This window comes from Homo sapiens, chromosome 9 (genome assembly GCF_000001405.40).
Source record: "Homo sapiens chromosome 9, GRCh38.p14 Primary Assembly".
Classification (NCBI taxonomy): domain Eukaryota; kingdom Metazoa; phylum Chordata; class Mammalia; order Primates; family Hominidae; genus Homo; species Homo sapiens.
In genome coordinates, this window is record NC_000009.12 from 137,515,177 (window position 1) to 137,538,068 (window position 22,892).

At 52.8% G+C, this 22,892-nt stretch overlaps 1 protein-coding gene across 12 annotated transcripts in view, besides 1 other annotated feature; it reads right to left on the minus strand.

Moving 5' to 3' along the window:
- The window catches only part of PNPLA7 (patatin like domain 7, lysophospholipase), a 90,451-nt gene that overhangs the window by 55,225 nt on the left and 12,334 nt on the right, over window positions 1–22,892 (minus strand). For 9 of the 12 annotated variants that reach the window (XR_929794.2, XR_929793.2, XR_001746292.2 and 6 more), the window contains 4 exons: window positions 7,553–7,681; window positions 6,460–6,540; window positions 4,741–4,867; window positions 203–346 (listed from right to left, as the gene is read on the minus strand). Coding sequence is in view for 8 of the 12 variants with exons in the window: in XM_047423367.1 (XP_047279323.1) it covers window positions 203–346; window positions 4,741–4,867; window positions 6,460–6,540; window positions 7,553–7,681 (481 nt within the window). In the remaining 4 variants the exon portion in view is untranslated. The remainder of the gene's footprint in view (window positions 1–202; window positions 347–4,740; window positions 4,868–6,459; window positions 6,541–7,552; window positions 7,682–22,892) is intronic. The other 3 variants (NM_152286.5, NM_001098537.3, XM_047423365.1) reach the window with 1 other exon arrangement.
- Window positions 19,707–19,766: an enhancer, noted in NCBI's record as "active region_29352". NCBI's record gives its function as "activates an Ori minimal core promoter by ATAC-STARR-seq in GM12878 lymphoblastoid cells {active_cell/tissue: GM12878}" and the evidence as "EXISTENCE:reporter gene assay evidence [ECO:0000049][PMID:35858748]".

Below are 22,892 nucleotides of genomic sequence, written 5' to 3' on the forward strand. Positions count from 1 at the left end.
CAGGGTGTTCTGGGCGGCAGGACGGCCACCAAGCCTCGACCCTAGAGCCAGAGGACAGGCACAGGCCCCCCTGGGCACGTGGGGCTCTAGTGGAGGGTGCCCGCCTCGGCGGCGATGCTGGGCATCAGTGCAGCTCAGCCTGGGTCTCAGATGCCGAGGGCCTGTGGGTCACACTGGCTGGGCAGCCGTCGAGGTTCTTTACCTTGTGGGGCCGAAGGGTCAGGGTCACCTGCCCCGGGCTTCTCCAGCTCCTCCAAGATCTGTTTGCGAATGGAAGGCGCGGGGACGGAGTGGCTCCTCTTCAGCAGGGGCCCAGCAGCTGCCGGGCGGCCGCCCCCGTGATCTGCTGGGGAGGCAGCCGTAAGCAACCTTGTTTGCACGCACTCCCTGGTGTCTGGTGCAGCCCATTCGGGGCCACGCAGGGAGCAGGGTCCCCACAGTGCCCTGCGCACCTGAACGCGCTCTGGACCAGCCCACCGGCCACCAGGCCTCTGCATCTGCCGGGCCAGCAGGTGAGTGCAAGCGAGTGCCGGCCTCTGACTAGCCCTGGCCCCTCCCCGCCCAATCCCGCCTCCCACATCCCCCTCCTCCCAATCTCCCTCCCCACCCCATCCCCCTTCCCCCAAATCCCCCCTCCCCCCTCAATCCCTCTCCCCCAAATGCCCCCTCCCCCCAATCCCTCTCCCCCAAATGCCCCCTCCCCACCTCAACCCCCTCCCCCCAAATCCCCCCTCCCCACCCCAATGCCCCTCCCCCAAATCCACCCTCCCCACCTCAATCCCCCCTCCCCCAAATCCTCCCTCCCTACCCCAACCCCCTCCCCCAAATCCTCCCTACCTACCCCAACCCCCCATTCCCCGAAATCCCCCTCCCCACCCCAATCCCTCCTCCCCACCCCTTCCACCCCTACCCCAATCCCCCATGCGCCCCACCCCCATCCCTAACCTAACCCCCTGCCCCATTCCGAGGCCTTGCTGCCCTGATTGTCCTGCTGTGGGCCAAGTGCCTTGAAGGCAAACTCCATCCAGGTGGGGCTGCCAGCCAGGCCCTTTCTCAGGGCGTCCCATTGGTGGATGTGGCTGTCTGGGCTCGCCTGGGATGGGCCACGCAGGGCTGCATCTGCCCCTCAGGTGAAACGAGGAAGGAGCCTGGCCTTGCCGACCACACAGGCTGAAGGAGGCTGCCCTGCCTGGACACTGTCCTTACCTACAGAGGCCCATGAGCACCCCCGGCCCTGGTCTCTGCCAAGACCTCATCCAGGACAGCTGCTGCCCCATCAAGTCACATGGACCTAATCCAGTGAAAGAAATGCCATTCAGGCAATGACACATACTCTAAAATACACTTTGAGGCCAGGTGCAGTGGCTCACACCTGTAATCCAAACAATTTGGGAGGCCAAGGTGGGAGGATCACTTGAGACCAGGAGTTCAAGACCACCCTGGACCACGTAGTAAGATGCCATCTTTACAAAAATTTAAAAATAAAAGTAAATGAGCTGGGCCTGGTGGCATGCGCCTGTGGACCAAGCTACTCAGGAGGCTGACGCAGGAGAATCCTTTCAGCCAGTGACATGGGGGTGGCAGTGAGCCAGTACCACACCACTGCACTCCAGACTGGGCAAAAGAGCAAAACCCTGTCTCAATAGTAATAATAATAATTATTATTATTATTATAAAAATAAAATGCATTTCTGGGAAAAAGCACATCAGCCAGAGCTGCGTTTAAAGGTGGCTGTGATCCTCATGGGGTCTCACAAGCACACATGAGTGCAGGAGTAACACCACTCTGCTCACTCCATCCTCACTCACTCAACTCTGTCCACTCCATCCCCCACTCACTCCACTCTGTCCACTCCATCCCCTGTCACTCACTCCACTCTGTCCACTCCATCCCACACTCACTCACTCCACTCTGTCCACTCCATCCCTCACTCACTCACTCCACTCTGTCCACTCCATCCCCACTCACTCACTCCACTCTGCTCACTCCATCCCCCACTCACTCACTCCACTCTGTCCACTCCATCCCCCGTCACTCACTCCACTCTGTCCACTCCATCCCTCACTCACTCACTCCACTCTGTCCACTCCATCCCTCACTCACTCACTCCACTCTGTCCACTCCATCCCACACTCACTCACTCCACTCTGTCCACTCCATCCCCCACTCACTCACTCCACTCTGTCCACTCCATCTCCCACTCACTCACTCCACTCTGTCCACTCCATCCCCCGTCACTCACTCCACTCTGTCCACTCCATCCCTCACTCACTCACTCCACTCTGTCCACTCCATCCCCCGTCACTCACTCCACTCTGTCCACTCCATCCCACACTCACTCACTCCACTCTGTCCACTCCATCCCACACTCACTCACTCCACTCTGTCCACTCCATCCCTCACTCACTCACTCCACTCTGTCCACTCCATCCCCCGTCACTCACTCCACTCTGTCCACTCCATCCCACACTCACTCACTCCACTCTGTCCACTCCATCCCTCACTCACTCACTCCACTCTGTCCACTCCATCCCCCACTCACTCACTCCACTCTATCCACTCCATCCCCCGTCACTCACTCCACTCTGTCCACTCCATCCCTCACTCACTCACTCCACTCTGTCCACTCCATCCCCCGTCACTCACTCCACTCTGTCCACTCCATCCCACACTCACTCACTCCACTCTATCCACTCCATCCCACACTCACTCACTCCACTCTGTCCACTCCATCCCCCGTCACTCACTCCACTCTGTCCACTCCATCCCCACTCACTCACTCCACTCTGCTCACTCCATCCCCCACTCACTCACTCCACTCTGCTCACTCCATCCCCCACTCACTCACTCGACTCTGTCCACTCCATCCCCCACTCACTCACTCCACTCTGTCCACTCCATCCCCCGTCACTCACTCCACTCTGTCCACTCCATCCCTCACTCACTCACTCCACTCTGTCCACTCCATCCCCCACTCACGCACTCACTCCACTCTGTCCACTCCATCCCCCACTCACTCACTCCACTCTGCTCACTCCATCCCCCACTCACTCACTCCACTCTGTCCACTCCATCCCTCATTCACTCACTCCACTCTGCTCACTCCATCCCCCACTCACTGACTCCACTCTGTCCACTCCATCCCCCACTCACTCACTCCACTCTGCTCACTCCATCCCCCACTCACTCATTCCACTCTGTCCACTCCATCCCTCACTCACTCACTCCACTCTGCTCACTCCATCCCCCACTCACTGACTCCACTCCATCCCCCACTCACTCACTCCACTCTGCTCACTCCATCCCCCACTCACTCCACTCTGTCCACTCCATCCCCCGTCACTCACTCCACTCTGCTCACTCCATCCCCCACTCACTCGCTCCACTCTGTCCACTCCATCCCCCACTCACTCACTCCACTCTGTCCACTCCATCCCCCACTCACTCACTCCACTCTGCTCACTCCATCCCCCACTCACTCATTCCACTCTGTCCACTCCATCCTCACTCACTCACTCCACTCTGCTCACTCCATCCCCCACTCACTCACTCCACTCTGTCCACTCCATCCCCCACTCACTCACTCCACTCTGTCCACTCCATCCCCCACTCACTCACTCCACTCTGTCCACTCCATCCCCCACTCACTCACTCCACTCTACTCACTCCATCCCCCACTCACTCACTTCACTCTACTCACTCCATCCTCACTCACTCACTCCACTCTGCTCACTCCATCCCCCACTCACTCACTCCACTCTGTCCACTCCATCCTCACTCACTCACTCCACCCTATCCACTCCATCCCCCACTCACTCACTCCACTCTGTCCACTCCATCCCCCACTCACTCCCTCCACTCTACTCACTCCATCCCACACTCACTCATTCCACTCTGTCCACTCCATCCCCCACTCACTCACTCCACTCTGCTCACTCCATTCTCTCCTCACTCTCATCAGCATTGCTTCATTTAATTTCACATACTTTTGTTAGTCACTTCAATTCTTTTGGGAACATGATGGGCTATAAATAACCAAGCGCGCACCTCATCTGTAGGGTGGCTGTTAACTCCATCACACAGATCGTCGTGGGGTGACTCATGCAGTGCACGCCGCACCCGACCGCTTCCTCCTCAGATTCAGGCCCCCCGGTTAGCACTCAGAACAGCGGGTGAGAGCCCATCGCGGGAGGCCCACTCCCCACCAGGCACCTGGCCCAGGCCAAGCACGCAGGGAGAATTCTGGGAACAACTGAAGAATGGAGGGTGAAGGGTCCTGGGCCTGTCTGAGGACATCCGGGCCTCATGTGAGGAGACGGGCACACGTAATGAGACCGTTGGAGGTTTGAGGACATCCAGCCCACATGTGAGGAGATGGGCACACCTGATGAGACCTGGGGAGGTCTGAGGACATCCAGCCCGCATGTGAGGAGATGGGGACACGTGAGGAGACCTGGGGGGCCATCTGATGAGACCTGGGGGGCATGTGAGGTGACCTGGGGCACGTGTGAGGGGACCTGAGGCACGTGAGGGGACCTGGGGTGCGTGTGAGTAGACCTGGGGGGCATGTGAGGTGACTTGTGGGACTTGTAGGGTGACCTGGGCCGTGTGAGGTGACCCGGGGATGTGTGTGGTGGCCTCAGGCATGTGCAAGATGACCTGGGGTGACCTGAGGCAGTGGGAGCAGGATCCCCCGGACTCTGGGGCTGGACATTGCCCTCCTTGGTGCAGGACAGTACCTGAGTCACAGGACTCCTGGAGCCGCGGTGGCTTTTTAAGCCGCTCTTCTTCGCCATAGAACACCTGCTTCTTGGCCTTCCCGGCAGCCACACTGGCTACAGACACGAGAGGGATGGCCTGGCTCTCCTGGGACACAAGAAGGAAGTTCAGTGCCACCCCAGGAACACCCCACACCCACTGACAGGTGTGGGCTCCTCAAAGGTGTGACAGGTGTGGGCTCCTCAAAGGTGTGACAGGTGTGGGCCCCTCAAAGGTGTGACAGGTGTGGGACTCTCAAAGGTGTGACAGGTGTGGGCCTCTCAAAGGTGTGACAGGTGTGGGCCTCTCAAGGCAAAGTTTAAGCTACATTTCAGGCAATGGAAAGAGGCCGATCATCAACCCAGAAATCCAGTTATTCAAGAAAAGGACTGGTCTGTTTAAGGCAACCAAGCTCAGCCTGCTTTTACCCTAGGCCCTGTCTCAAACACTTGATCAAGTCAACATACTGCCCCAAATTGTCAGAACCTTAATACTCTTCATTAAAACAAAAGATAATGTAGAAAACAAAAAGATATTCCCTTAATGTCAACAACTGAAGACGACAAGCCCTAAAATGTCATCAGAATTATGATTTCCAACTGAAATGCACATACTAAAGACTAATGCGTGCTGGGCCTTTACTAACCGAGCTCCACTTGCCCCATGACTAAAGAGAGCCCTCCGCATATCAGGCTACTGTTTTGGGCAGTGGGGATGGAGCAGGGCACGAAACCCTGGTCTCACTCAGTTCCCACGAGAGCTCGGCTAGGTGGGGACCGTCCCACGTCCCGGCCAAGTGCCTCCCAGGGTCACACCGCCAGGAGGAGGGAGAGCCGGGGTTGACAGCCTTGTGCCCTTGACAATGCGCTGTACCCTCCAAACGCGTCACAGTTCAGGGTCAGCTCCGCCCCACCCGGTTCAGATAGGAGGAGCTGTCAAGGGCAACACACAGGGAGTGCTGGCAACAGGGACCCCATGGGACGGGCATGGGGAGGGGCAGCCTCTGCTGGACGCGGACGTAGGGACCCCACGGGACGGGCATGGGGAGAGGCAGCCTCTGCTGGATTCGGCTGTAGGGACCCCATGGGACGGGCATGGGGAGGGGCAGCCTCTGCTGGACCGTGGCCATAGGGACCCCATGGGACGGGCATGGGGAGGGGCAGCCTCTGCTTGACATGGCTGTAGGGACCCCATGGGATGGGCATGGGGAGGGGCAGCCTCTCCTGGACAGGGCTGTCAGCTCAGTGTGCAGCCTGCAGGGCCAGAAAGGGAAGGAGCGTGTGTGTGGCTGCCGATGTCCTACAGAACACAGGTGACCAAAGGAAGACTCATCACAGAGTCCTGAATGGGAGCTGCAGAGGCACCAGGCGGCTGTTCACAACCGTGTGGGCCTCCAGAGGGACAACTCCATCATCGGAGAAGGAATTCCACCTTTCCCAAGTCCAACGGATCAGAGATTTTGGAACACAAGGCCCCAGGAGAATCAAGCCTCCAAACTGACTAGCAGGTGCTTTAAGGTAGGAGAATAAACACAGCACAACCAGCCCCTCCCAAAGTCCTAATGACCAGCAACTGGGAAGACCACAGCTGTTGCTGGCACTGCCCCACCAGGCACTGGGCGCCTGCCGTGCCAACCAATAGCTGTCCCGATGCCAGCTGCATGGAGCAGCATGGGGCTTTGTGAGGTGGTTTTCACTTACAGCGTTGAAGAGCTCTGTGGTCAGGCCGAGGTAGTTGTGCAGAGCCAGAAAGGTCACCCTCTGCAGCCGCACCATGATGATCTGCAAGAACACGCCAGCTGCGCGGTGACCACCGGCCTGGGGTACAGGGCGGGCCCCCGGCAGCACCACACAGAGCACTGAGAACCGTGCCCCAAACCCTGCAGATGCCACAGACCGAACCCTCTCAGGGTGAAAAACCCCGCAGACTTGACACCTCACCACGGTCAAGTAACACGTTCACATCACGGGGAATGGGACAAGGGGCACATGAAGACTGCATTGTTTTTGCAAGTTTTCTATAAATCTAAAGTTACTCCAAAGTGAGAAGTTTAATAAAAATGTAAAAATCTCTTTGGGGGTAGTGAGGGATCTTAAGACCTCTTTGAGATTGTGAACATTCATTTTTATTTTAAGATATATATTACAATTTTTTTTTGACATGGTGTCTCGCTATGCCGCCCAGGCTGGAGTGCAGTGGCACCATCTCGGCTCACTGCAAGCTCCGCCTCCCGGGTTCATGCCGTTCTCCTGCCTCAGCCTCCCGAGTAGCTGGGACTACAGGCGCCCGCCACCACGCCTGGCTAATTTTTTGTATTTTTAGCAGAGACGGGGTTTCACCGTGTGAGCCAGGATGGTCTCGATCTCCTGACCTCGTGATCCGCCCACCTCGGCCTCCCACAGTGCTGGGGTTACAGGCGGGAGCCGCCGCGCCCGGCCAAGAGACGGGGTTTCACCGTGTGAGCCAGGATGGTCTCGATCTCCTGACCTCGTGATCCGCCCGCCTCGGCCTCCCACAGTGCTGGGGTTACAGGCGTGAGCCGCCGCGCCCGGCCCCAGATTTTTAAAATATAACCTTCATTATTCCCGAACCCACTCAGAATCCCACAACACCAGTGGTAAGTCCCGCCAATGAAGTTGATTTCTCTATTCCTCTGAAATCACCTTCATGGCTGTAAAGCTCAGAACTGAGAAAGTAAGTGGGCAATAAACCCACTCAAATCCCAAACCAGTGCCCAGGCCCCCCCAGGGTGACCCACAGCAGCTAGAAGAGTTGTCTGAAAAAGTGACTCACCTGCACCACCCTCACCAGAGTTTCCGGATATTTCTCAAAAACTCCATGAAAAGCCGCAGCTGGAAGCCGGAGGATGGTGGACGGGATGGCCGCGCGGACGGAGACCGTTTTGTAAGGTGCAGCATGGCCCTGTAACAACAGCTCCATCAGTCCCCACTCTGTGGGCCTGGCCAACCCCCCAGGGAATGCCAAGGCTCCTGGAAGCCCTGGAGGAGGCCCCGCCTGCTGCCCAGTCACACGGCTCCATTCTCCCTCCCAGGCTGGGCTGTGCAAAGTGCTGCTTTTGGCACCAGCTGCACACGTTTTTTGACTGTCCAAGACATGTGCGGCGAAGGACTGGCTGACGATGAAATGTGGGTGAGGGGAGGCCCGCAGGCAGCCACCCCACCAGACCTGGGCACTCACCATGGGGAGTTCCAACCACTCCCACCTGCCACTGAGGCTCACGGACCAGCTCACCAGCGTCCTACTCTACGTCCGACATCAGCGTCGGTACCCCTCGCCAAAGGGCGTGCCAGACACCAACCTGAGCGGGCTTCCTAAAAAGGCCACCGAGAGGGTCAGGAGCCACCACTGTCAAATGCCCACCGCCACAGTGGGGTCACCGCCTAGGACAGGGAGCGCGCACTGCCGGGTCGCACGAGGCCCAGGTGAGGAGCCACAGTGGCTCACCGCGTGGATGTGGCCAGCAGAGCTCCACACGGCCAAGGAAAGAGCCCAGGAAAAGCCCCAGTGAGTGACGTGGTTTCCATCTTCTAGAAATTGGTGGGCTCTAGAGAGAAAAGGCTGTTTTTAAATCACGCTGTGATCTGCATGCAGGCAGATTCTTCTGGAAACTTGTTGGCTCTAGAGACGAAAGGCTGTTGTTTACACCATGCCGTCACCTGCCTGCAGAGACAGATTTTTTTTTTTTTTTGAGACAGAGTCTCGTTCTGTCGTCCAGGCTGGAGTGCAATGGCGTGATCTTGGCTCACTGCAAGCTCCGCCTCCCGGGTTCACACCATTCTCCTGCCTCAGCCTCCACAGTAGCTGGGGCTACAAGCGCCCGCCACCACGCCCGGCTAATTTGTTTTTTGAATTTTTAGTAGAGACAGGGTTTCACTGTGTTAGCCAGGAGGGTCTCGATCTCCTGACCTCGTGATCCGCCCACCTCGGCCTCCCAAAGTGCTGGGATTACCGGCGTGAGCCACCACGCCTGGCTCAGATTATTCTGGAAATTAGTTGGCTCTAGAGAGAAAAGCCTTCTGTTTACATCACGCCGTCACCTGCATGCAGAGGCAGATTCACCCTTTTTGGTGCACACCTCTAGCATTTTCACCCCCACCACAGAAACAGAACAATCCCAACCTCCAATGCCCCTGGCAGCCTTTTCGCAACCTCCTTTCTTCCCACCACTGGGTCTTGGCAATGCTCCCCCGTCTTCTGTCCCAGTGGTTGTGCCTTTGTCAAAATGTCACATAAATGGAGGCACAGAGTGTGGAGGCTTCCCTCAGCGGTGTGACACACTCGAGATTCCCCCACGGTGGCATGTCTGACAGAGGTCTCTGCCTTGACTCCCAAGTGCTGGCTGTCTCGTGGAGGCCTCGCAGGGTCTCCGTCCATTCAGCAGTCGAGATTCCCCCACGGTGGCGCGTCTGCCAGAGGCCTGTGCCTTGGCTCCTGAGTGCTGGCTGCCTCATGGAGGCCTTGCAGTGTCTCCTCGTGAAGGCCTCGCAGGGTCTCCGTCCATTCAGCAGTCGAAGGATATTTGTGTTGTTTCCACTGGGGACAATTCTAAATAAAGCTGCTTGATAAATATGCATCTCCCAGTGTTTGCGTGGACACAGTTCTCATCCCTCTTGCTAAATACCTAGGGATGGGACTTGTAGGTTGTACGGAACACGTATCCTCACATTTATAAGAAACTACCAAACTGTCTCCTACAGCGGCTGCCGTGCTTTGCATTCTCACCAGCGGTGAGTGAGTTTCCATGGATGCCCTGTGTTTTGCATTCTCACCAGCAGCGAACGAGTTTCCGTGGATGCCCCGTGGAATGAGTTTCCGTGGATGCCCCGTGGAATGGGTTTCCGTGGATGCCCCGTGGAATGAGTTTCCGTGGATGCCCCGTGGAATGAGTTTCCTTGGATGCCCCGTGGAATGAGTTTCCGTGGATGCCTGTCTTCACCAGCAGTTGGTGCCACCATGTCGCATAATAAAGAATTTAGCTGGTCTTGTCTTCAGTTCCCAGGAGAAAGCCCTCAAGATCTTAGAAGCTCCTGGAAGTGTCTTTTTATTCACAGTGCAATTCACTTGGGTTTATGCTAGCAGGTGACTCCTGGCGGCAAGGCCCAACCCAGAAGTTTCAGGAGGGAGCTGGCCATGCAGGGAAGACCAAGCATGTGACTAGATCCAGGGGTGTCAGCCCAACCTCCCACCTGCGGGGAGGGGAGGAAGCTAGACATCGAGTTGGATCACACAGCCAAAGTTCAGGCAAACGTCCCTGGGTGGCAACACACATCAGTGTGCCAGGAGGTATAGGGTCCAGCCCTACTGTGCCTGTGTGTTTTTTTCTTCATGTGCAGAGATGAGAGATCGTAGAAATAAAGACACAAGACAAAGAGATGGAAGAAAAGACAGCTGGGCCCAGGGGACCACTACCACCAAGGCATGGAGACCGGTAGTGGCCCCGAATGCCTGGCTGCACTGTTATTTATTTGATACAAGGCAAGGGGGCAGGTAAGAAGTGTGAGTCGTCTCCAGCGATACGTAAGGTCACGTGAGTCACGTGTCCACCGGACAGGGGGCCCTTCCCTATTTGGTAGCCGAGGCGGAGAGAGAATGGGGACAGCTTATGTCATTATTTCTTCTATGTATTTCTCGGAGAGATCAAACACTTTAATACTTTCACTAATTCTGCTACTGCTATCTAGAAGGCACAGCCAGGTGTACAGGGCGTAACACGAAAGTGGACCAGGAGCGTGACCGCTGAAGCACAGCATCACAGGGAGACGTTTAGGCCTCCGGATGGCTGCGGGCGGGCTTGACTGATGTCAGGCCTTTCACAAGAGGTGGTGGAGCAGAGTCTTCTCTAACTCCCCTGGCGAAACGAGACTCCCTTTCCTGGTCTGCTAAGCAGTGGGTGTCTTCCCAGGCACTGGCGTTACCGCTAGACCAAGGAGCCCTCTAGTGGCCCTGTCTGGGCATAACAGAAGGCTCACACTTGTCTTTGGTCGCTTCTCACCATGTCCCTTCAGCTCCTATCTCTGTATGGCCTGGTTTTTCCCAGGTTATAATTGTAGAACAGAGATTATTATAATATTGGAACAAAGAGTAATGCTACAAACTAATGATTAATATTCATATATCATCATATCTATATTCTAGTTCCAGTATAACTATTCTTATTCTGTATATTTTCTTTATTATACTGTAACAGCTCGTGCCCTCGGTCTCTTGCCTCGGCACCTGGGTGGCTTGCCGCCCACAAGGAGGATGGCATAGCTCAAGGACACGGGAGCCTCATGGCTGGACCATGCCAGACCTCACTCTGTGGGTCTCTTGACTGTTTTGACTGATCCTGATTTTCATCCTTTTTTTTTTAAGACAGAGTCTCACTTTGGAGTGCAATGGCGCGATCTCAGCTCACTACAAGCTCCGCCTCCCGGGTTCACGCCATTCTCCTGCCTCAGCCTCCCAAGTAGCTGGGACTACAGGCGCCCGCCACCATGCCAGGTTAATGTTTTGTATTTTTAGTAGAGACGGGGTTTCACCGTGTTAGCCAGGATGGTCTCAATCTCCTGACCTCATGATCCACCCGCCTCAGCCTCCCAAAGTGCTGGGATTACAGGCGTGAGCCACCGCGCCTGGCCGATTTTCATCCTTTGTAGTACAAATGTGAATTGTTCTAGAATATTGAATCTGAGGGGGTCACAGGAATCCCTGAAGTTGTAACCAGTTGGTCACAAGTGTGAGTGGCCTGGGAACTCCCAAGTTTGCAGTTTTGGATGCTATTATAATTGCTGTTACTTTTAAATTTCAATTCCTAATTCTTCATTGCTAATATAGAGAAATACAGTTTATTTTCGTATGTTGATAAACCATAAGTTCTAGTAGTTGTCTTATAGAATCCACAGGATTTTCAATCTAGATAATCATGTTTGGGAATAGAGACTTTTATTTTTTCTTTTCCCATCTGCATGCTTTTTCTTTCTTTCTCTTCCCCTACTGCTCTGAGGACCTCCAATACGATGCTGAACAGGAGTGGTAAGAACACACACTTGGCCAGGCATGGTGGCTCATGCCTGTGGTCCCAGCACTTTGGGAGGCCGAGGCAGGTAGATCACGAGGTCAGGAATTCAAGACCAGCCTGGCCAAGATGGTGAAACCCCGTCTCTACTAAAAATACAAAAATTAGCCGGGTGTGGTGGCAGGTGCCTGTAGTCCCAGCTACTTGGGAGGCTGAGGCAGGAGAATTGCTTGAATCAGAGGGGGCGGAGGTTGCAGTGAGCCAAGATTGCGCCACTGCACTCCGGCCTGGGAGACAGAGCAAGACTCCGACTCACAAAAAAAAAAACCACAAAAAAACAAAAAAACAAAAAAAAACCCACACACACACTCTGGCTTGTTCGCAATCTTCAAGGGAAAATATTCAGTCTTTCACGATCAGGCACGATGTTTGCTTTCATTTTTTTAGTACAGATGTCCTTTATTCGATTTAGGAAGTTCTCTTCTGGTTGCTGACAGTTTTTATCGTGAACAGATGCTGAATTTTGTCAAATACTTTTTCTGCATTTATTAAGGTAATCAGATGGCTTTTCTTCTTTAGTCTGTCAATATGGAACATTACATCAACTGATTTTCAACTGTTGAAACAGCTTTGCTCCTGGAATAAATCCCACTGATCATGATGTATTATCCTTTTCCATATACTGCTGGACTCAAATCTCTAATATTTCATTGAGGATATGTATGTTTCTAATGATGAGTGACTGGTTTGAAATTTTCCTTTCTTGTAATGTCTGTCTGATTAGGTATTAGGGTATTGCTACCCTCAAAAACTAAACTGGGAAATAGTCCCTCTTCTACTTTTCCGGAGAAGTTTGTATAAAATTAGCATATTTTGTCCTTATTGTCCTAAATGTTGGGAAGTATTCCCCAGTGAAGTCATCTAGATCTGGAATTCTCCAGGTGGGAAGGATTTTAGCTACAGATTCGATTTCTTTAGTAGTAGCCATTCAGATAATCTATATCTGAGGGAACTGTGGTAGTTTGTGCCTTTCAAGGAATTTGTCAATTTAATCTGCGTGGCTGATTTTATGGGCATAAAGCTGTTCAAAATATTTCCTTATTAGTCCTTTTATGTCTGTAGGGTCTGTAGACATGTGCACTCTTTCATGTCTAATATCTGTAGTTTGTGTCTTCTCTTCTTTTCTACACTAGTCTGGCTGGAGGATTTTTCATTTTACTGACGTCTTCCAAGAGCCAGCTTTTGGTTTCATTCATTTTCTCTCTTGTTTTGCATTTCCAATCTCATGGATTCCTGCTCTTTATTAGTTTCTTCCATCTGCTTGCTTTGGGTTTCATTTGTTTTTCTTTTCCTAGCTTCTTAAGATAGAAGCTTGGGTCACTGATCTGAGACTTGTTTTATTTTCTAATATGAGCATTGCCCAGGCTGGAGTGCCATGGCACAGTCGTGGCTCACTGCAACCTCTGCCTCCTGGGTTCAAGTGATTTCCAGATAATTTTTGTATTTTTAGTAGAGATGGGGTTTCACCATGTTGGCCAGGCTGATCTCGAACTTCTGACCTCAAGTGATGCACCCGCCTCGGCCTCCCAAAGTGCTGGGATTACAGGCATGAGCCACCGCGCCTGGCCGTGTTGTCCATTTTTATCCTTGGTAATATTCCTTCATCTCATCTGACATCGACTTTGTCTGATACTAATATAGCCACTCCAGTTTTCTTTTAATTGGGGCTTTCATGATATATCTTCTTCCAGCCTTTTTTTTTTTTGAGATGGAGTCTCGCTCTCTTGCCCAGGCTGGAGTGCAGTGGTGCGATCTTGGCTCACCGCAAACTCTGCCTCCCGGGTTCACGCCATTCTCCTGCCTCAGCCTCCACAGTAGCTGGGACTACAGGAGCCCGCCACCACGCCTGGCTAATTTTTTGTATTTTTAGTAGAGACGAGGTTTCACTGCGTTAGCCAGGATGGTCTCGATCTCCTGACCTCGTGATCCGCCCGCCTCGGCCTCCCAAAGTGCTGGGATTACAGGCGTGAGCCACCGCGCCCGGCCTTTTTTATTTTTTGAGAAACTGTCTTGCTACTCTATCACCTGAGCTATACTACAGCAGCACACTCAGAGCTTCCTTCAGCCTCAGCTTCCCAGGCTCAAGCAATCCTCCCACTTTAGCCTCCTGAGTAGCTGGGAGCACAGGTGTGTACCACCACACTAACCTAATTTTAAATTTTTTGTAGAGATGGGGTTGCTATGTTGCCCAGACTGGTCTCAAACTCCTGTGCTCAAGCAATCCTCCCACCTGAGCCTCCCACAGTGCTGGGATTACAGGTGTGAGTCACTTCGCCCAGGCCAACCTTCTGTTTTCCATCTAAGTATTGATATTTAAAGTGGGTTTTTCCTGCAGACACCATAGAGTTGGGGCTTGGACTTTCCATCCAATCTGACAGTCTGTCTTGTTGTTGTATTTAGACCATTTGTATCCACTGTGATCATTTATAATGGCTGGGTTTAGGATATAATTTTCCGGAGAATGTTGCCTTCTTTGTTTTAGCAGGCGATTAAGCTGGTTGGGTTCAGACCACAAGTCTGTATCTGTGGATGGTGGATTCCAGTTTCTCTGTTTTCAAAGCCTTGGTTCTGATGCTTTGCTCTGCCCTGAACATGCACCACTCAGGAGTCAATCTGAGATTCGAGGTGAAGTTTGAATCTTTGTTTTTTTTTTTTTTTTTTTGAGACGGAGTTTCACTCTACCACCCAGGCTGGAGTGTAGTGGCACGATCTCGGCTCACTGCAACCTCCGCCTCCTGGGTTGAAGCAACTCTCCTGCCTCAGCCCCCTGAGTAGCTGGGATTACAGGCACACACCACCACACTTGGCTAAATTTTTGTATTTTTAGTAGAGACGGGGTTTCACCATGTTGACCAGGCTGGTGTGGAACTCCTGACCTCATGTGATCCGCCCGCCTCAGCCTCCCAAAGTGCTGGGATTACAGGTGTGAGCCACCGCGCCCAGCCTGAAGTTTGAATTTTTTTTTTCCTGAGATACAGTCTTGCTCTGTTTCCCAGGCTGTGGTGCAGTGGCATGATCTCGGCTCACTGCAACTTCTGCCTCCCGGGTTCAAGCGATTCTCCGGCCTCAGCCTCCCGAGTAGATGAGACTAGAGGTGCGCGCCACCACACCCAGCTAATTTTTTTGTATTTTTAGTGGAGACAGGGTTTAACCATGTTGGCCAGGACAGTCTTGATCTCTTGACCTTGTGATCTGCCCGCCTCGGCCTCCCAAAGTGTTGGGATTACAGGCGTGAGCCACCGCACCTGGCCTTGAAGTATGAATCTTAATACAGTTTCAAAGTCTTTGTTATGCTGCTCTGGGTCTGTCCTGAGCCTTGTACAGGTTCACAGACAAAATCTGTGCATCTACTTCCCTGGCTCTCTCCTCCCTGAGATCCACACACTCTCTCTGGCCCTTGGGGGCCCTTCTTCTGGTGCTTTTGGAGGATTCCCATCAGGGCTTTTGCTCCATAACTGGGCTACCATCAAGGCAAGGCCATGAGTAACAGAAGAAAACGAAAAAGCAGGAAGCAGAACCCTCGTGGGTGGCGGCTCCACGATGACTATCCACAGTCTACTGGCTTTATTTTCGGAGTTCTCCAAGAATTGTTTTCTGCATTCTGTCCAGAGTTTTTCACTGTAATCAGCAGGACAGGCTGTTGTGGCACTACCTTGCCACAGCAGAACTGTAACTCTCCCATTTATTTTAGTTAAAAATAAAATCTTAATTTCCTTCTTCTTTGAGAGCCTGAATGAAGATGCCTAACACATCACCACAGATACTAAATCAAACAGCAGCTGCTCACCTGTGTAGACCAGGCTCACGGCTGCTGCTGTTCAGGAGAATTCCAATGTACCTTCCTGCACGAGGCCACATAAACGAGAACCCAAACAAGGAACTTAGAGGGTGCCCAATCTCCTGGTGCTGGGCTCCAAAGCACAACTGGCCGACACTCAGGCCTGCTGCGGGCCCCGCACATCGAGCACACCAGATACTCAGCTCTTGGCACATGCTAATCGATCTCTGAGACTCAGCAATTTTTCTTCCACTTGGAATTTTGTTCCGTTCCTTTCAAAACCTTTATGTAGAGCAAGTTCCTCCCTAAGAGAGCTACACCACACCACAAGAAACACAAGCACAGAACGGTTGAGAGGAGTCATCTGCCAGCCCCAACAGCCGGGGTCCAGCGACTGAAATCACGGCCTGCTCCAGACTCAAGGGAGAGACACCCCCACCAACCGCATCAGCTGGGCAAGTCTCATCTCCACTCTGGAATCAGGGAGAAAAGCACGTGCGTGTGTTTGGGGGCGGGTGGGGAAAAAGAATAACAACTTAGCAGCTGTTGCTAAAAATGGCTTTTGTGTGTTTTATTTCAAATCCACTTGTTTACTTCAAAAAACCATGCCTTCATAACCTCACCCCAGATCAGGAAGCTGTGAAAACCACAGGGAGAGGCTGGATGCTGGGAAGCCCAGGTGGACACGCAGCTCCTCTGGCAGGCAGGGGTCCCCGAGGGCTCCCCACACTTGCACATCTTCAGATCTCGGCAGTGCTGTATGTAGCAGCCAGCAATCACACCCAACCCAGCTGTCACTCAGCCACGGAGAAATCAACGGTGGTGTCAACGACTGAACTAGAACGACACCCACTCACGCCAATGAATCTCACGTTCATAATGTTGCTCAAATTAGGAAAGGTGAGGAATCCTGGTGTGATGCCATTTATGAGATTTAGAGTCAAGCAAAATTATACTACATATTGTATAAGTACCAAAGAAAATTCAGAAAAGTAGCTATCTCTGAAGAAAAGAGAAGGTGAAATGAGAGCACACGTGGGTAATGTGAACAGAGCCGGCAGTGTGCATCTAACCTGTGTTCTAGCTAACCAGGGTTAAAACTATATAACCTGGGTTCGAGTTAAGATGCCTGTTTGCTGTGTCATGCCTACTTGTTTTAGAGACAGGGTCCTGCTATGTTGTCTGGGCTGGCCTAGAACTACGAGGCTCAGCAATCTCCTTTCCTCTCCCGAACAGCCAGGACTATAGGTGCCAACCGCCATTCCCAGCAACATCACGCTTTTTTGCGTATCTGCGGTATTTTGTAACAACTTTATAAAAATTAAAATAATAAAGACTATCTCCCATTAAAAATGGTGGGTTGGGCCAGGCACGGTGGTTCACACCTATAATCCCAGCACTTTGGGAGGCCCAGGAGGGCAGATCGCTTGAGGTCAGGAGTTGAAGACCAGCCTGGCCAACATGGTGAAACCTTGTTTCTACTAAAAATACAAATATTACACGGGCATGCTGGTGTATACCTGTAGTCCCAGCTACTCGGGAGGCTGAAGCACAAGACTCACTTGAACCCAGGAAATGGAGGTTGCAGTGAGCCAAGATCACGCCACTGCACTCCAGCCTGGGTGACAGAGTGAGACTGTCTCCAAAAAAGAAAGGTAAGTTGAAGGTAAATGCTTATCTTTGTCCCCTTGTGGAATATACATGCTTATCTCTGCTCTCTTAAAAAGATACAAACCTCCAAGGATAAAGACAAAAGCTAAGAGTAGATAAAAAATGTCACTGAAATTTTAGCGGCTGATGAAAGCAAGTGACAGGGTCATGGCTGGTGGAGCCCTCTAAGGAAAGCTGACACTTGGTTTTAGAGGTGCAGAACCTGGACAGAGAGGACTGGTCCTCACTGCAGAGCCAGAACGAGGCTAACATGCAGGTGAGACGGGAAGAGGGGCAGGCTAACCCCAAGTCACTTTCCTGACCCCAACAGGCTGGAAATGGCTTTTCCCCGTGGCCAGAGGACTACCAGGAACTCTCTGGAGAAGGTGAAGCAAGCAGGTAAGAGCCCAAGGACATCAGGTGTGGCTACGAATCCAAGAACAGTGTCCACTCCAGACGGGAGCACTCCCAGACTCCTCAGTGAGTGTCCACTCCAGACGGGAACACTCCCAGAATCCTCAACAACAGTGTCCACTCCAGACGGGAGCACCCCCAGACTCCTCCCCAAGTGTCCACTCCAGATGGGAGCACTCTCAGACTCCTCAGTGAGTGTCCACTCCAGATGGGAGCACTCTCAGACTCCTCAGTGAGTGTCCACTCCAGACGGGAGCACCCCTAGACTCCTCCCCAACAGTGTCCACTCCAGGCGGGAGGACTCCCAGAATTCTCCACAACAGTGTACACTCTAGACGGGGGCACTCCCAGAGTCCTCCCCAACAGTGTCCACTCCAGGCGGGAGGACTCCCAGACTCCTCCCCAACAGTGTCCACTCCAGGCGGGAGGACTCCCAGAATCCTCAACAACAGTGTCCACTCCAGACAGGAGCACCCCCAGACTCCTCCCCAAGTGTCCACTCCAGATGGGAGCACTCCCAGACTCCTCAGTGAATGTCCACTCCAGACGGGAGCACCCCCAGACTCCTCCCCAACAGTGTCCACTCCAGGCGGGAGGACTCCCAGAATTCTCCACAACAGTGTACACTCCAGGCGGGAGGACTCCCAGAATCCTCCACAAGTGTCCACTCCAGACGGGAGCACCCCCAGAATCCTCCCCAACAATGTCCACTCCAGGCGGGAGGACTCCCAGAATCCTCCACAACAGTGTCCACTCCAGACAGGAGCATCCCCAGACTCCTCCCCAAGTGTCCACTCCAGATGGGAGCACTCCCAGACTCCTGAGTGTCCACTCCAGATGGGAGCACTCCCAGACTCCTCCCCAACAGTGTCCACTCCAGGCAGGAGGGCTCCCAGAATCCTCCACAACAGTGTACACTCTAGACGGGGGCACTCCCAGACTCCTCCCCAACAGTGTCCACTCCAGACAGGAGCACCCCCAGACTCCTCCCCAACAGCGTCCACTCCAGACAGGAGCACTCCCAGACTCCTCAGTGAGTGTCCCCTCCAGACAGGAGCACTCCCAGAATCCTCCCCAACAGTGTCCACTCCAGGCGGGAGGACTCCCAGAATCCTCCACAACAGTGTATACTCCAGGTGGGAGGACTCCCAGAATCCTCCACAACAGTGTCTACTCCAGATGGGAGCACCCCCAGACTCCTCCCCAACAGTGTCCACTCCAGGCGGGAGGACTCCCAGAATCCTCCACAACAGTGTCCACTCCAGGCGGGAGGACTCCCAGAATCCTCCACAACAGTGTCCACTCCAGACGGGAGCACCCCCAGACTCCTCCCCAACTGTCCACTCCAGATGGGAGCACCCCCAGACTACTCCCCAACACTGTCCACTCCAGGCGGGAGCACTCCCAGGCTCCTCAGTGAGTGTCCACTCCAGACGGGGGCACTCCCAGGCTCCTCCCCAACAGTGTCTACTCCAGGCGGGAGCACTCCCAGGCTCCTCAGTGAGTGTCCACTCCAGATGGGTGCACTTCCAGGCTCCTCCCCAACAGTGTCCACTCCAGATGGGAGCACTCCCAGACTCAGACAGGAGCACTCCCAGACTCCTCCCCAACAGTGTCCACTCCAGATGGGAGCACTCCCAGACTCCTCCCCCTCCTCCAACCCAGTGCCACCACAGCAGAACATACGCAGATTCCTTTCTGAGAAGCTGCCCTAAAAAAAAGACCTACAGACCCTGACCTGTAGACTCCCAAACCATGAAGGAAAGAGCCAGCGTCCTGCTCAGTCCTCCTGCAGGGAGTGTCCCCTGTTAACGAGCCCTGACCCCATGCACACGCAGCCTATATGCAGCTTTCAGGTGGATCACGCTGTTTTCGTTTTGTAGTTAACCCATGTAACTCCCACCGAAATCAATATGTAGAACATTTCCAGTAATCTAGATTACCTTACGCCTCCCCGGGTCGATACCCAACCTAAACCCCTAACAGGCAACCACTAATGAGACCTTAACCCCAGCAGGGCCAAACACCAGGACCAAGTCCCTCGAACCGCGCGTTCTAACAGGCAACCACTAATGAGACCTTAACCCCAGCAGGGCCAAACACCAACACCAAGTCCCTCCAACCGCACGTTTTTTGTAAAGGAAGTTTTTTTTGGAACACTAGATGGCCACATTGAGTAGCTGCAAGAGAGACCACGTGGCCCATAAAGCTGAAATATTTACACTCTGGCCTTTTACAGAGAAAGCTGGCTGGCCAGCCTCTGTCCTCAAGTGTCAGTACAGCTGGTAGCTGAGCCTCAGGTGAGTGAAATTACACAGTGTGTGCTTTTTGTTGCTGGCCTCTTGGGCTCCACATTATTTCTGTGAGATGCAGCTATGCTGGTTTGCACACTTGTGTTCAATAAGAACTTCATTCACACATAAAGTGACTGCTGGAGGCAGAAAAGCCCCTGATCAGAAAGACAGAAGCCAAAATAAACAGAGAAGAAAAACTCAGGTCAGAAACAACTCAGGGAGCAAAAGAAAACCCATCTTACTTTATCCATGAAGTAAGAACAAGATAATTTTTAAAAATTAAAACATAAGAACAAAGATACTTTTTTAAAAAGAACATTCAGGGCCAGGCGCAGTGGCTCACACCTGTAATCCCAGCACTTTGGGAGGCCGAGGCAGGCGGATCACAAGGTCAGGAGTTTGAGACCAGCCTGACCAACATGGTGAAACCCCGTCCCTACTAAAAATACAAAAATTAGCTGGGCATGGTGGTGGGCACCTGTAATCCCAGCTACTCGGGAGGCTGAGGCAGGAGAATCGTTTGAACACGGGAGGCAGGAGTTGCAGTGAGCTGAGATCACGCCATTGCACTCCAGCCTGGGTGACAGGGCAAGACCCCGTCTCAAAAAAAAAAAAAAATTAACAGAAAAAACCTCTTGAAATGAAAAATATGACAGAAATTAAAAATTCAATGGAAGATTTGGAAAATAAAGTTGAAAAAATCTAGAAAGTATAACAAAAAGGCTGGGCATGGTGGCTCATGCCTGTAATCCCACCACTTTGGGAGGCCGAGGCGGGCAGATCACGAGGTCAGGAGATCGAGACCATCCTGGCTAACATGGTGAAACCCCGTCTCTACTAAAAAATACAAAAAATTAGCCGGGCGTGGCAGTGGGCGCCTGTAGTCCCAGCTACTCAGGAGGCTGAGGCAGGAGAATGGCGTGAACCCAGGAGGCGGAGCTTGCAGTGAGCTGAGATCGCGCCACTGCACTCCAGCCTGGGCGACAGACCAAGACTCCATCACAAAAAAAAAAAAAAGAAAAGAAAAAGTACAACAAAAAGACAAAGGTGGTGTAGAATAAAGACAATTCTAGATTTCTAAGGTTTCCAAACATACACCTCCCTGGCATCCTGTCTCAGGAAGTGAATGGAGGATTTGCTCCACCAAAACACGCCGGCCGAGAAAGCAGCAGCAAGAGCCCTGTGTAGGGGAAGGAAGGGTGGGTGGTCCTGGGATGGCGTCTGGACAGCAGGCCTGGGGAGGGTCCGACTGGGCAAGAGGATGGGGGCTCCTAGCAGGGGCGCTTCCCAGAGCAAAAAAGCATTCACGGAGCCGCTGGTTCAGGCGTGAATCTGTAATGGGTGCATATAAAAATCACCAAGAGGCCAAAAATAAGCCGCTGGTTCAGGTCGTGAATCTGTAACAGGTGCACAGAAAAATCACCAAGTAGCCAAAAATAACACAACTGTTAATTCCAAGAAAAAGAGAAAGTTGCAAGAAAGGAAATTTAACTATAGTACACTACATAGCTCAGCTGTGAATAGTATCCATGAAGTCGAAAGAACCGCCCATGAGCGGTGCAGATGGGAACGTAGCATGAGGCATGGGGGCAATCTACGGAGCCACACTTCATCTCCCATGACAGGAAGCATGGGGGCCATCCACCGAGCCACACTTCATCTCCCACGACAGGAAGCATGGGGGCCATCCTCCGAGCCACACTTCATCTCCCACGACAGGAAGCATGGGGGCCATCCTCTGAGCCATACTTCATCTCCCACGACAGGAAGCATGGGGGCCATCCTCCGAGCCACACTTCATCTCCCACGACAGGAAGCATGGGGGCCATCCACCGAGCCACACTTCATCTCCCACAACAGGAAGCATGGGGGCCATCCACCGAGCCACACTTTATCTCCCACAACAGGAAGTCAGTGTGTCTAGAATGGATGGGTTAGGAAACAGCAAGAAAAGCTGCTCAGAAGGAACCGAAGCGTTTTCAGTGTGAGGGGACAGACGGCCACTGTTGATAAAACTTTAAGTATGTTTTTAGAATCTGTCCATGTTATTTTGCAAGAATTTAAGTTTTGTTAAAATGACAAACACAAAAGTTTGATGAGGAAAAACGATGTCACGGCAGATGATCAACTGATCACAATACAGAATTACCTCTCTCAGATATCACCCCCATTTTTTTTTTTGAGACAGAGTTGGAGTGTCACTCTGTCACCAGGCTGGAGTGCAGTGGCACAATCTCAGCTCACTGCAACCTCCAAATCCCTGGTTCAAGGGATTCTCCTGCCTCAGCCTCCCGAGTAGCTGGGATAACAGGCACCCGCCACCACACCCAGCTAATTTTTGTATTTTTAGTAGGGATGGGTTTCACCATGTTGGCCAGGATGGTCTCGATCTCCTGACCTCGTGATCCGCCCACCTCGGCCTCCCAAAGTGCTGGGATTACAGGCGTGAGCCACCGTGCTCAGCCAATCACCTCCCATTTTTTACTCCCACTACACTCAGGGAAGATCCATTCCCACCCCTAAGGGAGAGGGGCTGTGACACCAACGCGGATGAGACGGATCGCAGCAGCTGAGAGGAACCCGGCCCGTCTCAGCGCACAGCTCCCCTCTCCTGGAACAGGCATGGCTGCACTGTGATAAGTGAGGCCCAACCTGAATATCACAACAAGATCAAGATCAGAAAGAACAAAGAAATAATGGAGAAAGCCTCTACCCCAGTGAAGCTATTTTTTGCTTAAAGAGAAACGAATCATCCAAGGTAGGTCGCATACAGATGCCCCGTGCTGAACGGGTTTACGTCCACGTAGACCAAAGCTCCTGTGGTCCTTTCCCAGTTTTTCTCAGGCCCACAGGTGCCCCTTACACATCCAGGAGTCCCTGAGAAGCCCACCTCAGCTCCAGAGACACACTAACCAGAGG